This window comes from Homo sapiens, chromosome 2 (assembly GCF_000001405.40).
Source record: "Homo sapiens chromosome 2, GRCh38.p14 Primary Assembly".
Classification (NCBI taxonomy): domain Eukaryota; kingdom Metazoa; phylum Chordata; class Mammalia; order Primates; family Hominidae; genus Homo; species Homo sapiens.
Window position 1 is genome coordinate 200964099 of NC_000002.12, and position 17790 is coordinate 200981888.

The following is a 17790-nucleotide window of genomic DNA, read 5'->3' on the forward strand; positions in this document are numbered from 1 at the left end:
AATACAAAATTAGCCGGGCGTGGTGGCGCATGCCTGTAATACTAGCTACTCGGGAGGCTGAGGCAGGAGAAACGCTTGAACCCGGGAGGCGGACGTTGCAGTGAGCCGAGATCGAGCCATTGCATTCCAGCCTGGGCAACAAGAGCGAAACTCCGTCTCAAAAAAAAAAAAAAAAAAAAAAAAAAGTGTTCATTGGTTTCCCAGCTACCTTTTGAAGAAAAAGGTAATGGAAATTGATTCGCATTTCTTTTTTAAAGATTTTCTTCATTTGGCGTGAAAGGTAGGATCTTGTACATCTCCAGGGTTTGGGGTAGGGAGAAGAAGAGACGTTAGGAGAAGCACTGAATATGGAGATGGGATCGGACGGCTAGTGGGATGAAGAGGCTGGGGAAATAGAATGAATAGACAGAGAAAATGATTGACTTCAACTATCCAAAATATAAAAAAGACAAGACAGAGAAAATGAGGAAGAAAAGGAATGAACCTGGATGGGATCCATACAGTATTAAGAACAGGGTATTGTTTCATTTGGATTCACTTACTCAAAACAAAACTACAGAGTACTCTGCGAACAGAAGATAAGTATTCATTATCGAGCGAGACAACTACGATCTCTGCATTCACTGTAGTTACCTAGCACGTGAAGATATTGAACGGACAATATTGAGAAAAATACCATGATATGGGAAGTGCATTGGAGCACATGGTAGGAGTAGCTAATTAAAAGCCCAGAAGGAGTCAGGAACAATTTTCTAGGAGGAAGAGATGTTTAAACTGAAACCCCTGTGTTGAATAGATTTAAAACAGGCCAAGAGGGGTAAAATTTTCCAGGTAGAAGGTCCAAATCCGTGTAACAGCTGTGTAAAATGCCAAGCATTGGGTCTGTTATTATGAAGGGCTTAGTTGGCCCTTAGGGCACTGGTCAGATTTGTATTGAAAGATCTTTGGATAAAGGAGGTAGGATTGGGAGGGAAGATATAGAGTCACAAGATTTGGGAGCTGTTTAGGAAATCCAGTTGAGAAAGAAATGATCATAGCCTTGATACCTCATTATTCCATTTTGGCTAGGTGGAGTTAAGAAAATGGAAGAGAAAGGCAATTTTTTGTGCATTATAAATAAGAATTTGGGGAGTGACTAGAGACAGAAGATAAAGAGAACATAGCTCAACAGTTAACAATGATGTGTTTGAAGAGTGTTTAAAAATGTGAAGATGACTAGCCCAGCACACACACCTGTAATCCCAGCTACTTGTGAGGCTGAGAAAAGGAAGATTGTTTGCATCCCAGAGTTCCAGGATGCAGTGAGCAGTGATCTCACTTGTGAATAGCCACTGCACTCCAGCCTGGGCAACACATCGAGACCCCATTTCTTAAAAAAGAAAAGAAATTTGAAAAAAAGATGAAGATCTAGGAATGTTGAATAGATATGTTCAACTTATGTGTGTTTTTTATATATATAATTTTTTTTTTTTGAGATGCAGTCTCCCTCTGCCGCCCAGGCTGGAGTGCAGTGGCAACATTACTGTTCACTGCAGCCTCGACTATCTGCTCTCAACCAAACCTCCCACCTCAGCTTCCTGAGTAGCTGTGACTGCAGGCGCACACCACCATACCCGGCTAATTTTTGTATTTTTTGTAGAGTGGGGGTTTCACCATATTGCTCTGGCTGGTCTCCAACTCCAGAGCTCAAGTGATCCACTCATCTCGGCCTCCAAAAGTGTTGGGATTACAGGTGTGAGCCACTGCACCTGGCTGTTTTTTTATATTTCTATGATGTCAGTAAACTCCCCTTCATTCCTCTCCTTCTCACATCTTGAAAAAAGGCTTCTACAGACCACAGAGGCCTTGGTGTGAGTGGTGGGTTTGGATGTAGTTTTTATGGTATATGTGTGGAAAATAGAGGGAAGGAGCTGAGTTTTGCTTTTAGGTTGACACTAAGATAAAAACAAAGAGCCATACCTTCAGAATGGAGACACAGGATTTAGGAGCAGCAGGAAGCTGAAGTCAGAGGGGACCATAAAATGGCAACTCCCCATGTATTCACGGAAATTTTGCGCAGGGCAAGTAGACTGTTCCAAAGGGGGAAATAGAAGCTCAATACTATAAGAGTAGAGGCACAAGCAGCTAATTGGGTAATAGTTTGAAATTTAGGGACTGGCTTTTAAAAATCTAATCTATGAAACAGGGTGAATTGAAGACTTTTTAAATACCAGTAAAATAATAATCAGAATTTTTTATTGAAGTTAGTAAACATAAAATTAACAGAATAGAAAAACAGGTTAACATAAGTTGGTTAGCTGGAATCCAGGCCTGAAAGGGGGAAGCCAGTAAGAAGCCTATTCCTTTCACAGAACTCCAGGTGGTAGTCTCAGGAATACGTTAAAAGCAGCATGGGTCTGGTGCGGTGGCTCATGCCTATAATCCCAGCACTTTGGGAGGCCGAGGCAGGTGGATCACTTGAGGTCAGGAGTGCAAGACCAGCCTGACCAACATGGTGAAACTCCGTTTCTACTAAGAATACAAAATTAGCTGGGCTTGGTGGTGCATGCCTGTAACCTGAGCTACTTGGGAGGCCGAGGCAGGAGAATTGCTTAAACCCGGGAGGCGGTGTCTGCGGTGAGCCGAGATCATGCCATTGCACTACAGCCTGGGCAACTATAGCGAAACTCTGTCTCAAAAAAAGAAAGAAAAAGAAAAAAAGCATGAAGCTGAGACTGGAGGATTGGTTGGAAAAAAAAATGGAGTATGAAGCTGAGACTGAAGATTGGTTGGGAGTCTTGAAACAATTAGATGCTAGATCTCCTGTCATACTTTGTGGAGGACCAGGAGATTATAAGGTGAACCGAGAGGATCTAGACTCTACCACTAGGCACAACTGAGAGTAGAAATGAGGTCATACTGAAATGGGGAGGATAAGCTCAGGACCTCGTCTTACTTGGCTCCCAGAACGCTGGCAATGAGTCATATATCCCCTGGGCATTAAATTTAAAGACTTTTTCAGGCAAGCTAATCAGAAAAGAGAGGAGGCCCCAATTGAAAAAGCCAGTTTATTAATATAGACCTACGCTGACACCTACTAGCTGATAAGCTAGTCCCTGCACGCTGAGCTTCTGATCAATTTTAGCATTACCAAACTTTGGAATAAAGCCTCAGCTCTGAAAAAGAAAAAAAATAAAGCAGGAGCAAACATACTATGTAGAACCCAGAGAAAAATTTACTCAAAACTGTAATAAACTCTTGACATTTTATATCTATTAAAAAAGGAATGTAAAAAGGAATGTGAGTCATCAAATTTAGATTCTTTAAGGAGAAAATTCTTAAAGTTTTAATTAATTTTTAAATAGACTGCAGAATCAAGATGATAGCAGCTTATATTTTTCTTCACCTGTGATCTCATCTGTCAGCACACTGAAGAAAATCAGAATCTTTATAAATTTCTTCTTCAAGGAGATGACTGAGTTAAAAAATTAAATCTTTTTTTAAATTTTTTTATATTCAAACAAGGTTTTTTACCGAAACCATATTTTACTTGATCAAATTCAAGAATATGATCTCAGTTCATATCTTCCAAATTGAAATATAATCTAAATAGCTGTATAGATATCTGTGAGAGATCTAGATTAAGCAACCAGAACTAAGTAGGTCTTATGAACAAGTTAAGATACATTTATATTGGTTCCTAAGTTTGGGAAACTCAGTTAACTTTTGTCTTTGCCAGTATCGTGAAAAGCTTCATATTGATGCTATTGCTCCTTGAAAAAAATCCATTTTCTCCCTGGGTCTTTGAACAGTTTATTTAATAAAATTTTTGAGCCCCTACCTCAACCAGGGGCATAATGCCCAGGTATGGCCCTTACCCTTAAGGAATTTAGAATTTAGTTCGGTAGAAAGAATCAGATAATTTCAACACAAAAGGGTGTAGGCTGGGCCCAGTGGCTGACACCTGTAGTCCCAACAGCTTGGGAGGCTGAGGCGAGAGGAGCACTGGAGCCCAGGAGTTTGAGGTCACTCTGAGCACATAGGGAGACCCCCATCTGTACCAAAAAAAACACAAAAATTCAAAAAGGTGTACTGAGAACTACAAGGACAACTGCCATTTAGCTTAATCTAGGGGTTGGGTTGGGGGATAGCAGAGGAACGGCCAATCCAATTTCAAAAGACAAGTAGACTTAAGCAAAAGAGAAAGTACTGGAGAAGAGATTTCAGGAAGAAAGTACAAACTGGGTGTGGCAGTACAAAGGACAAAGGGTGTGATTGTGCAAATGAGTATGGTAGTACAAAGCACTTTGTTGTTACTTAAGAATGATAGGAGATGGAGTAGAAGTAGGCCACAGGGCCTTGTATGCAGGCTAAATAACATGGAATTTATCCCCTATATTGGAACCACTGGATAATTTTAACCAGGGCACTGATAAGCATTTAATATCCATCACTAAGGAGGATAAATTTAAGGGCAAGGAGTCTAGTTAGGAGGCTATTGAAGCAGTCGATATGAAGAGGATATGAGTTTGTGCTGTAGTAGTAAAGATGGGAAGGATTAATTAAAAAAAAAAGGGGGCAGTCAGCAGGATTTGGAGACTGGATAATAGAGGTGAGGGAGAGAGGAGATATAATTCTCAGGTTTCTGGCTTGGTTGCCTGGATTAGTTTATTGGTGTGATGTGAGAGAGAGATTACTGATAGAGGAAAAAGGTAGATGAGTTTAGTTTAAAGCATCTTAACTTTGAAGTGCCTGAGAGATATCCAGCTATCCAGCAGCCAGTTGGATTTAAAAGTCTAACATTCAAGAGGTCTAGGCCTAGAGATACAGATCTAGGGTCATCCGTTTATAGATTTAAGCCAAGTGGCGAAAATGAGAACTGTGCAGGGAGTGTGAGAAAAATAAGAAATAATGTGAGATACCTCTCATTTGAGACAGGCAGCAAGGGGATAAGGATAGTTACAGATAGAGTTCAGAACTTTGAAGTGGTGGTGGGAAACAGGAAATTAAGCATATTTATTCTAGCATGATGGCCTCCATTTCATAGAAAAAGAGTTGAGGCTGCTGAGAAAGTGATACTTTATGTGCTGAAGCTGCGGAATAGAAACTAAAGGGAATGAGAAAGGGGACAGGCCAAGAAGTACAAGGGTCCATTGAAAATGTATTAACACCTACAGTGTTCAGTGGCCTGAGTTAGGGAATAGAGAAGGCAGACTAAAGCATTAATATGGATGGGTCTATTCTTTGGGGTGGAGGTATATTTATGGAATGGGTTAATGATACTTCTTTCTTGTATTGTCAGTTACTATACTAGGTGTTTCTCTAGGAAAAATTTATTATTGAGTCAGGTTCTGGACAGAAGAGAGAAAGCTTACCTATGCCAAAGATTGGTATAGCATTAAAGAGAATTTTCAATCCTGATTGCACATGAGAATTAGCTGGGGATCTTTGAGAACTATGTGACGCCAGATCCTACTCCCAGAGAGTCTGCATGGGGCCTGGTCATCAGAATTGTTTTAAAAAATTACCCAGATGATTTTTTTTTTTTTTTTTGAGACAGAGTTTCACTCTGCTGCCCAGGCTGGAGTGCAGTGGCACGATCTCGGCTCACTGCAGCCTCCGCCTCCTGGGTTCAAGTGACTCTCTTGCCTCAGCCTCCAGAGTAGCTGGGACTACAGGCGCCCACCGCCACAACCGGCTAATTCTTTTTTATTTTTAATAGAGACAGGGTTTCACCATGTTGACCAGGCTGGTCTTAAACTCCTGACCTCAGGTGATCCACCCACCTCGGCCTCCCAAAGTGCAGGAATTACGGGCGTGAGACACTGTGCCCAGTTGGCCAGATGATTTTAATGTGAAGCTAGGGCTGAGAACCAGTGAGCTAGAGACAATTAAAAATTGGCAATAAAATTTTTTGTGAGATACGCAGTGGCCTAGATCATGTATGTTAAACACACACTTGATAAAGTTTCAATAGATCTAGAATGTCAGTGGCAGATGCCTCAGCAAATAACTTCTACCCTGAAATTTTTTTATATGTCAAATTGATTTGTCATGCTCAGGAAAAGTGATTATATCTGAGTATCTAGTAATAAAAGAGAATATGGCAGCCAAAACCTCCAAGATAATTTTTTTTGTACCAGGGATGGTAAAGCAGTCAGTGAGGACACGAGATGACATCATCAAATAAGTAGTGAAAGATTTGACACAGTAATCCTTAAAAATGTACACAGAGGGCTGGGTGTGGTGGCTCAAGCCTGTAATCCCAGCACTTTGGGAGGCCGAGGTGGGTGGATCACCTGAGGTCAGGAGTTTGAGACCAGCCTGGTCAACATGGTGAAACCCCGTCTCTACTAAAAATATAAAAATTAGCTGGGCATGTTGGCGGGCGCCTGTAATCCCAGCTACTTGGGAGGCTGAGGCAGGAGAATTGCTTGAACCCAGGAGGCAGAGGTTGCAGTGAGCCAAGACCACACCATTGCACTCCAGCCTGGACAATAAGAGCGAAATTCCATATCAAAAAAAAAAAAAAAAACAACAACAACAACAACAAAAAAACGTACACAGAGTAATTACAATAATGGGAATTAGTTTTTGAAAACAATTCTGAGTTGGCCAGGCGTGGTGGCTCACGCCTGTAATCCCAGCACTTTGGGAGGCCGAGGCGGGCGGATCACGAGGTCAGGAGATGGAGACCATCCTGGCTAACACGGTGAAACCCCGTCTCAACTAAAAAACAGAAAAAAAAAAATTAGTCGGGCATCATGGTGGGCGCCTGTAGTCCCAGCTACTCGGGAGGCTGAGGCAGGAGAATGGCATGAACCCGGGAGGCGGAGCTTGCAGTAAGCTGAGATCATGCTACTGCACTCCAGCCTGGGCGACACCGTCTCAAAAAAAACAGCAAACAAACAAACAAAATTCTGCGTTTTACAGTGTGTATAAAGTCAGTGTAACATTTGTGAATAAAGGAAATATATATAGATTTCTTAACATTCTGTAATTTTACTTGGAGGAAGTGAAGAAAGCCTATGTTTGGGGAATTGCCTACTGAATATTGGAGAGAATAAAATAAAAAGCCTATTGAATATGAGTGTTTTGTTTTGAGACTATTAGCATTGTTTCTGTTTTTTTTTTTTTTTGGTTTTTTTTTTGAGAGAGGGTCTCACTCCGTCGCCCAGGCTAGAGTGCAATGGTGCGATATTGGCTCACTGCAACCTCCGCCTCCCAGGTTTGAGCGATTCTCATGCCTCAGGATAGCTAGGATCACAAGGGTGCGCTACCACACCCAGCTAATTTTAGTATAGACAGGGTTTCACCATGTTGGCCAGGCTGGTCTCGAACTCCTGACTTCAGACGATCCACTCACCTTGGCCTCCCAAAGTGCTGGGATTACAGGCATGAGCCACTGTGCCCGGCCTATTATCACAGATTATATCTATCCCATTTGGATTATCACCCCGGGCCAGATAAAGACCTTTACATATCCTAAACACGAAAGACTATACGTCTGCCCTCTCTCAGGTACTTAAAAATTTAACATTAAATCATAACATAGTCATCAGCCCAACAAAGTTCTGCTTTCCTCCCATGCTACCCAGCAGCTTTTTTGTGTGGATGGGAAGGGTCATAGGAAGAACTGTCATATAATTTTAAGTTTTATATTTTGGCAGTCTCTTCTGCTTTATTATGCTGTAAAATAGCTTTTCTCAACTGAGCTTCCTTACGTGAACCACAAAAAGACTATTTTCTCATTTTCCCTCAGGATGGTACACAAGAACCACTGTATATTACATAGGAGAGAAGTTAACTTATAACTGTGGATACTTAGGATGTTAGGGCTTGATTCTTTCATGGATTTAGTTTGCCTATTAGCAATCTAGCTCTGTTGAGATCCAACCCCTCCCTTTCTTCCCGTCCTTCACAGGGGGACTGGCTTTCTGGGGTAGGTGCTTGGCAAGTGTACTAATAGTTGAGAACAATCAATGCAATTATGCAGTATATTACGATGTTTAAGTTCACAAGTGCATTCGCCTGAGTGTCTATGTTCAATGTTAGCTCTTCCACTTACTAGCTCTGTGACTTTGGACAGCTGTACTTTACTTTTCTCATAAAAGAAGAATAGTACTTATCTAATGCTGTTGTACTGAGTATTAAATGAATGACTGCATTTTCTTTAAAGTGTTTAGAATAGTGCCTGGCACATCCTAAGCACCCAATAATGTTAGTTATTGTTTAATTTACATGGGAAGAATCTTTGTACCATAAAATACTGTGACTTACCTGGACAAGAGTTGTATGTGTGGGGATAGTGTGTATGTGTGTGTGTGTATGTATGTATGTATGTGTGTGTGTGTATATAAAGTGCCTCCACTATTCTATTAATATCACAATTATATTACAATACCTTAAAGGAAAATATTACTTTTCCTGTTGTACTTCTGTATTTTCTTTTGTTTTTTGTTTGTTTGTTTTGAGATGGAGTTTTGCTCTTGTCCCCCAAGCTGGAGTGCAATGGCACGATCTCGGCTCACTGCAACCTCCACCTCCCAGGTTCAAGCGATTTTCCTGCCTCAGCCTTCCTAGTAGCTGTGATTACAGGTGCCTGTCACTATGCCCGGCTAATTTTTGTACTTTTAGTAGAGATGGGGTTTTACCATGTTGGCCAGGCTGATTTCAAACTCCTGACCTCAGGTGATCCACCCACCTCGGCCTCCCAAAGTGCTGGGATTATAGACGTGAGCCACCACACCCGGCCCTTTTTCTGTATTTTGTAAATGAACAACTATTACATTTCTAATAAAGGGAAAAAATTGGAACTGTCAGCTTGTGAATCTCATCCTTCCTTACTAATGCAGATCCAGAATCAAAGAGAAAAACACAGTCTTGGTTCTGGATCTGCCAATCTTTGGATTAAGGAATAATAAATATCAAAAAGATAATGTACTTTGCTTGAATCTAAAATAAAATGGAGGATAAAACTTTGACTCAGCAAGGAATAACAGTCATAAAGAAAAAAGGCACAAAAGAGATTTTTCCAGAAAATGCATGTAAAGAAAGGGAAAGGAAAAAGGGCCTAGGGCTTAACCCTTGATTAAACCCATGTTCCAAGCGAAGGCTAAAGTATCTTTAGGAAAGACAATGTGGGAAAGGCCAAAAAGTTTAATGATGAGAGAACTAACTGCAGGTAAGGGTGTGAAGAAACAGGCACCTTCATAAGTTGTATTGTAAACTGTATTATAATAATATTGGTTCCTCTTTACAAGGACCCAGGAAAGAAAATATTTTAACATTAGAAATAGTTGTGCTTCACCTGAGAAACTTGTTGAATCTTAAGGAATATGAAAATTATGTAATTAATCTTACTTCTGTCTTTACATTTGGCTGCTTTAACGTTCAGTGCTAAATCTGTACCCCTGCAATTAACTACAGAAATATATGGCACGTTTTATGTATTAATTTCACACCTGCCTTTGTCTTGTTTCTTATTTTGTGGTGTTAAATATAATTTTTATACTGCCTTAATGTAATAGGGTATGATATAAAGGTTCAGATATAAAATAAAAATGGTACACTTTGAAAAAATATGAAAAGACCCTTTTAAGATATAAAATTTACGTAAGATAAAATCAACTCAGGGAAATCCAGTTAAAAGCCAAATAGAGCTGTATTTTTATACTGTACAAAAAAATTTACACTCTTAATGTAACTAGATACATCTAAGGGTAAATTACACATCTCTCAAACACAGTATTTTAACATCTAAGATATGTTTCTGCATTGCAGACTGATACTGAATTTTATACATCTTTATTTACAATAACTTAAAATATTTTTTCATCTCTGGCAGATATTTACAAGGTCAACAGTGACTACATTTCACATTTCAACAATCAACAGCATTAATCGGTTCATTAAGACAGGATAATGGCTTACATGCACCAATAAATATGATCTTAAATTCACGGTTTTTTCTTCAGCTCTGAAAAAATGAAGGTTGTCACTAGTCCTAGGTTGAAAGGACATCACTCAATACAAGTCATAATTTCTATATGCCTATCCTATTTAAATTTTCACCAGCACTATTCTCTAAATACTTGGGAAGTTTATACCAAGTTATAGGTTGATGCTAGTTTAAAAAAAAAAAAAGAGCTGATGTGTACATTCCATATCCTTTTATGAAGCAAACATATGAAAGTGAGATAGTTCTTATTTAATATCATTGTGACAGAGATCAGATTACATAATGCCAAAGTAGTAAAAATCCTTCAGAAATTATAGCTCAGGAGACTCAAATTATCATGAGAAAAACAGTGGGAAAATAATTTTTGCACCCTAAAAACTGTTTCACTTAACCACTTAAACTGAATGTAAAGCCAGAATAATTTTAGAGTAAGAATAAAAAAGATTCAGTGTCAAGTAGATGAACTTATTACAAATATTTTTAAACATGGAGCATATCTCTCAATTCAGTATGGATGATAAAACTTAAAAACAAACAAACAAACCCCCCCAAACCCAAACCTGTATCAGTGATTGTTAGAAAGCCAATCCTCTCTTTCCAAGACAGCTAATCAATATACTCATTACTTTTCAACTACTCCCTGCTATAAAAAACAATACATAAAACCTGTTTGGAACATCAATATGCAAATACATTCCATGATTTCCAAAAAAAATTATTTAACTTTTGAAATAAATCATTTAGTTCTTATTGGGCTATACATTTTAAAAAAATGAGTATTTTAGCTTTTCTTAACCCAATCCTGTTTTTCTGCAAAGAAAAAAAACACTCAGAATGATCATGGACATAAATTATTTAACAAACTTTACCAGTTTAACCAATATTATAGTAATTGCCACTGCCCTTTAAAATAGGTACATTTCCATAATGCCCCCCTAAATTTTACTTAACCCACAATATTATACAATATACCAATTTTAGGAATTTCCCCCTTTTTATTCAATCCTGATGAGTAGGATCCTTAATTTAAGGAGACCAGAAACTGTGCTATGAGGAATAATATTTAGATTTAGCTTTAACGGGTACTTTTGCTGGAAGTGTAAAATATTGACATTTATTGACATAAGAAAACCTAAAATGGAATCTTGTAGCTACTGTAAACCTATTTTCCAGGTCAGAGAATATTTTTAAGATACTTTATATGTTAAAGAGGCCTCATTCCTTAACAAGTACTTTAAAAATTATATTTGGTAGATACATTTTCTTTGGTAAATTTTGTAATCAATGAAGATGTAAAGAACTTCCTTTGATATAATTAACACTGAGCTGTTTATACTCAAATACAGCAAACCATATTGATATCAATTCTGTAATTGGGGATGAGTTGTCCAATTAAGTTCATTTCTTTGAAAATAAAAGGATTTCTTTATTAGCCCTACTTCCAGATACACATTTTTAAAAAGACTCATTTATACTCTAAGCTACACCTAATTCCATTTTTTTATCAAATCAATATTAAACATAATAGCAGACATCTGAATATGCCTTAATTTGTAAACATGATTAGCACAATTTCTAAAAATCCAGAAGCAAAACATATACCTTACATTTCTGTACTATGCTGCCAGTTATTTCACATCATTCCCAGCTTTCTGCTAATTTCTATCCTGAATTGTTTGCTCTTATGTACATTTCTCATAGGACTATGGCTAAGATTACAAAAATACTGAAAAGACTGAAGTTACCAAAATGTTGTACTTGTGTGGTCAGGTTCAGAAGAAATATGCCTACACAGGCAAGGAGGTTGGGTGGTGATGACTCCTCTATGAATAGTATTTTCTATATATGCTCAGTACCAGTATGATATACCTATTAGGTACACATAATGCAAGTAATACTAAAATTTGTCTTACATTATCAATATGACCATCTTGGCAGGGAAAACTGTACCAATCTGATGACTCATAATTTTATTAGCATTGTTAACAGTTTTACACTGCATTCCATCTGCTTATAATCTGGCAAATATTCTAATTTCTAATTGGTTTTCAAACAACTTGTTTCTAAAAACACTTTAAAAAAATTAAAGTATTACAAGTAAGTGTCTCAACCAACTTAGTGGTAAAACGATGACAATAATCTTCAACTTGAAAGAAAAAGTCTCATGTTCAGACTGTTTAACATAGCTGTACATAGAAAAATTGCTCTAAAATTCTTACAGATTTTCTGATCATTGGCATGACCCGTTAAACTTTTTAAAGCTGAAAACAAAGATGTAACTGAAATACTGATTAAAAAAGGAAAAACCCAAAACATACTTTGTAATCCAAGGTCAGAAATGGACAGATATTCCTTGCCAGTGTTTGTAATAAATAGGGGACTACCCCTAAAGACAGGTACTACATTTTTTATTTACAAATGAACATGCAGAGATTTAAACGAGACAACTGATTGTCAACAACTGAAGTACTCAAAAATGGACTCCACTTCATTAAAATATTCACAAAAGTGGTGCAAACAAAACAATCTGAAAGAAGTTATTCTCAGTATTCCAGTGTCTAATAAACAATTTTAATTAATTTAAAGCTACTAGATGGAATCTGAGAATACAGACTGGAAATACTGAGCTTATATAGCTGAGACTACCGCATTTAAGACATTTTATATGGTATATACACACTTTAAATGACATCATGGTCACTGTTCCATTATGGAATCATAAGCTTCACACTATAGAACCTTTTTCAATCATATAAGGAAATATTGCTTGCATTTGCTCTAAGCATAAGATTCAGTCTCTTTCTACATTAAAAAGTAATGGAATCAAATTTATTTAATCTTTACTTTGCAATACTCTATTGTGCAATATAATTAGCTTGCCACACTGGTGACTGAAAGCTGGCTGACTCAAAAATTACTTTAAAATAACTAGAAAACACTGATCAAAGCCATTTCACAGGGTTTATTTTATATTTAAATAAATCCCAACAAATGTATTCAACTATAAAATGGCAGCATACAACTGTTATGTGGCAGAAAATAGTAAGGCATAAATTAGAATAATGTATTGATCCTTACATCTGTAGATATACTTAACATTTCCAACATTTCCCCATCTAGATTACTCTACATTTTTTCTGGATTTAACACTTTTCTTAATGTGTTGTATTCACCAACTACTAGACCAGAACTATAAAGAAACTGCAAAAATGGAGTTAACAACCCACTGCCTCCCCAAACCCATGGGAGACTGGGTTTGATTCTGGCTCTGCTTTAGGTATATGATCTTGATCACACCACAACCTCTGAGCCTCTGTTTCTTGAGGATGAAGGTTGGGGTGAGGGAGTGGGAGACTAGCTAGATTATCTCCAGGGTTTCTTCTTAGCACAATTCTGATTCTATAATAAATAGACAAAAGTGAATTGGAAAGGTAAGGGGAATGGTAAGGGGTAAAGTTAAGGGGATCAGGATTTTAAAATAACGATTTTCCCCTTAGCTTCTTAAAATATTTTCACATTTAAAAATCTTCAGGCCAGGTGTGGTAGTTATGTCTGTAATCCTAGCACTTCTGGGAGGCCAGGTGGGTGGATCTCTTAAGCCCAGGAGTTCGAGACCAGCCTGGGCAACATGGCAAAACCTCGTCTCTACTAAAAATACAAAAATTAGCCAGGTGTGGTGGTGCATGCCTGGAGTTCCAGCTACTCCAGAGGCTGAGGTGGGAAGATCACCTGAGCCCAGGGAGGTTGAGGCTGCAGTGAGCCGTGATAGTGCCACTGCACTCTAGCCTAGAGGACAGAGTGAGACCCTATTTCAAAAAATTCAAATCTTCTGAGTTAACTATTCACTTTGCATTTTAGTTTGCTTTCTAGTAATTAATGTCAGAGCGAGCTCCCAAAACCTTCAGCTGTTTCTTTGTATTCTTTTATCCAACTTGGCATACATGGCACCAACCTAATTGTTTTATTACAGAAAACAAGTATTTTCTCCCTAAATATCTTTTTCATAGATGATTAGACTTTTATGGAGATTAGAAAATATATAACAAAAGCTTGTTAAAAAAGTATGAATATTGCTGGCATATATCTGTAACAGCTGTTGTATACATGAAACAAAACTATTTTAAATTAAATGCCAAAAATAATGCATGTTAAAATGCATATTTAAAAACTTAGAAAATTTGACTCTCAGTTTGTTAAACTAACACCTTCCATTTTAACTAATAATAATTCTTGCACAAGAAATCTGTTGTAAGACCCTGAATGCAAGGCTTAGACTAAATGAAATGTTTCTTCACTGAGGTCAATTCACATCACCTAAAAGAATAGAAAACAAATGTTACAGGGTCATAAAATGTTAATGTGGGTATGTATACATACAAACATATATGTATATACATACAGATAAATAAAATCCTCTAAGATGAACTTTTTTTTTTTTTTTTTTTTTTTTTTTCAGAGATGGAGTCTTGCACTGTTGCCTAGGCTGGAGTACAGTAGTGCATTCTTGGCTCACTGCAACCTCCACCTCCCAGGTTCAAGAGATTCTCCTGCCTCAGCCTCCCGAGTAGCTGGGATTACAGGCGCCTGCCACCACGCCCAGCTAATTTTTTGTATTTTTAGTAGAGACAGGGTTTCACCATGTTGGCCAGGCTGGTCTCGAACTCCTGACCTCATGATTCACCCACCTCAGCCTCCCAGAGTGTTGGGATTACAGGCGTGAGCCACCGTGCCCGGCCAAGATGAACATTTTTTAAAACCAATTTTTCAGGTATAACATAAGATTTCTAGCCAAAGGAAAATTTTGTTGTATTAATTCTAACATTTGCTGTGATTTGGTATTATGTGGTATTTCTTTTGTGCTCTAACCAAAATCATGCTAGATTTAGATGCCAATAAATGCACAATTTGAATTGAAAACAGTCTTTTTACCTCCCAAATAATTTATGCCATAAAGTGACTGACCTCCAGCCATAGCCAAGATCTCACTTTCTTTTTTATTTTTTATTTATTTTTAATTTTTTTTTAGATCTCACTTTCTAGGTAAGTATAATGTTCCTTTCCTTACATACCTGAAACTGCCTGTTTTAGTATGTTATGGGCCTTTATAGCTCATTTATTTTGGCTATTTTTAAACTCCTTTCATTTATTTGACATCCCTTAAATTAAAAGAAAGGGTATTTAAAATATTTAAAATACAACTTTGTGATATATACATATACACACCATACACACACACACACACACACACACACACACACAGACACACACAAAACAATAAATTGTCTACTTATCAACTTTTAGCTTTACCCTGGACTTTGGCAATGTTGTAGATACTAGTTCAGGTTCTAGTTTTCCATTTTCACATGAGCTGGAAAAATGTTACAGACCACCATATTTAAACAAGCATCTCATATATAAAGAGTCTAACAGAAAGTCTCTTAGGGAAAAAAGAAAGTCCTTACAATAAAAACGGGAGGATTGCTAGGTGTGAAAAAAAAAAAGGCGTTTTTTCTGGTTATTTATCAAAATCTATTGTAATTTTAATGGTAGAGATAAAATTTTAACTTTTGCTAATTAGGAGAATACTTGCTTTCTATAAATTCAGTATATTTTTCTTAAACAATAATCAAGTAAAAACATCTAAATGTACAAAGCACTGATAGCTCTGATGTATTCTGTGGAAGGATAACTTATAACAGTTTAAGTCACAATACACTTTTTTAAAACCCAATATATTCCCTTCTTTTTCAAACATCAGAGCCTGAGACCCAGAAAAGTTATGATAAAATCTTATCCAACCAGATCAGAACTAAGGAAATTTTTTTTACCAATAATGTTTTTGTAACCTCTTAGCAGTTACCAAATGCTACTTACATACATTCAACATCTAGCTTACTGGCATGATATCAAAGTTTTATAAAAATGAGGAACTGCAGATATATGATTAGAAGGTACACAAATTGCATTACATTAAACACAAAGGCAGTGTGGTCCTTGTAGGAGAAATCAAGGTCAGTACCCCCTGGTAGAAATGTTCTATAAAAATGTGTCACATTGAAGTATCAGTGTTTCAGCCAATTGTCTGTCCCTGATATATTTCCTTGGAGTATGTAATGTATCAGGACTTTAGGTTTCTTAATCCAAAATGTCTGACTGAATTTAGGTACATCTAGAAAGCAGCTGAAAGGGTTTCTCTTATAGTCTGACATAACAGAAAGTAGATTGAGAAATCCCTCTCTTTACCTGAAGATGTACTGTTACACTTCAGCCATCAGCTCACAAAGGAAAAGAAGAAAAAAAAATCAAATCTCCTCTCACACACACAATCTCCACAAAAGCTAAACAAAAACTACCCCCCGCCCCCACAAAACCCCAGCACCAAAGTGTCAATCATTCCTGGGAAATAGAACATGCCCCTCAGATTCTGATTTGTTAGTTGGCCAAACTTGAAGGACAGAAATGACCTTATATGTCCTTGTGGGGAAGAGGGAAGACACGTTAATAATGACTATACAGCCATTGAGAAAGTGCATTATCAATTACACAATCAAGAGTCCTGCCCTCCAATGGAGGTGGTCACAACTTGATTTAAATGCCTCCGTAATTGAACATTTATGTCTTCGGGATAAAGGAGATGGGGGGGTGGAGAAAGAGCTACCCTCATTTTAATGAAAAAGTGCAGCAGTCTACCACCTTTCCCCATGCTTCTCCAGAAAATGATTGCACAGACTCAGAGAAGTCCAAAGTCATAGCAGAATCTCTGAGGCACTCCTGGTTAAGAGAAAAAAATATGATCCAGTAATCTTCATAGTTCTATAGATTATGAGAACAAACCCGTTTTGTTTTTAAACAAAAGCCAAAGAATCGTTTCATAGGGATCATATACACCATTTCCTCTAATGTACCCTCAGTCTCACAGTGTTGAAATGGGACCGATCAGCCTACGATGGATTGCACATCACCCAAGGAGAAAGGAAGGCATGGAAAAGGCAACCATTTTATACTGCTTCACAAACACATTTACAAGGGATAGGTGAAGAGAAGATGTAGGAAAGAGGGATAAAGAAAACCTTATTGCTGTTTTGATACAAAATACAGTATGAAGATACCTAAACTAAATGAAATCTGATAACAGTGACCAATATTTTCACAATGTGGGATGAAGTGTCTTCTTGCACAATGAAATGTTCAGTTTAAAAGGTAAGCAGAAAGATGAGGGAGGATGTCAAAACTACACCTGGGATATTAGCTGCATATTGAAACTTGGGGATCGAGACTGCTTGGTCAAGGGGGCTCCTGGGCTGAGGAGCTCTTTACCTTCGCCAGCTTGACCTAGCCGGTCTTCCTGCAGACTGACAGTTGAGTATCGATTAGCATTGTTGGCTGCTAAATTAGTACCTCCCTCAGTGCCAACCCCAATGCTGGTACTTGCTTGACTGCCATTTACATAGTCAAATGATTTACTTGAGGAAGCACTGGCTGTCCGGATTAGACTTAAGCTATTGATTTTTGGCACCACCTGGCCAGCAGGCAGGCTCAGGTGTTTCTTCATTGGTGTCAGCTCAACTGAATCTACACTAAGATCAGTTGGTTGCTGTACATACTGCTTGCGAACTACTGAATCTCGAGGGCTCTCACTGGATTTGATGGCAGAGGCTGTTTCTTTATCCTTGGCTGAACGCCCAGTTGCTACTTTCCTTAAGCTTCCCCTCTGAGAAGAGGAGGATGGTTTGGTCCCAATTGGCTGACTGCTGAGGGAAGCCCCTGATGAAAATCCTTCATCTGCATCATTCAGGTTTACAGACTCCTCTCCTCCATTTACACCCTCAGCACCTAAGAAAACAAATCAG

The 17790-nt window shown here is 37.9% G+C and overlaps 1 protein-coding gene and 1 long non-coding RNA gene across 21 annotated transcripts in view; one reads left to right on the forward strand and one right to left on the reverse strand.

Annotated features, from left to right (window-relative positions):
- LOC105373835 (uncharacterized) overlaps positions 1–17790 on the forward strand; it is a 55639-nt gene that overhangs the window by 667 nt on the left and 37182 nt on the right. The gene's annotated exons all lie outside the window — the stretch shown is intronic.
- Positions 9620–17790, reverse strand: part of HYCC2 (hyccin PI4KA lipid kinase complex subunit 2) — a 97954-nt gene continuing 89783 nt past the window's right edge. For all 19 annotated transcript variants that reach the window (NM_001321618.1, NM_001321624.1, NM_173822.5 and 16 more), the window contains one exon: positions 9620–17773. In NM_001321618.1, coding sequence (NP_001308547.1) covers positions 17172–17773 — 602 coding nt within the window. In that variant the 3' untranslated portion in view covers positions 9620–17171. The remainder of the gene's footprint in view (positions 17774–17790) is intronic.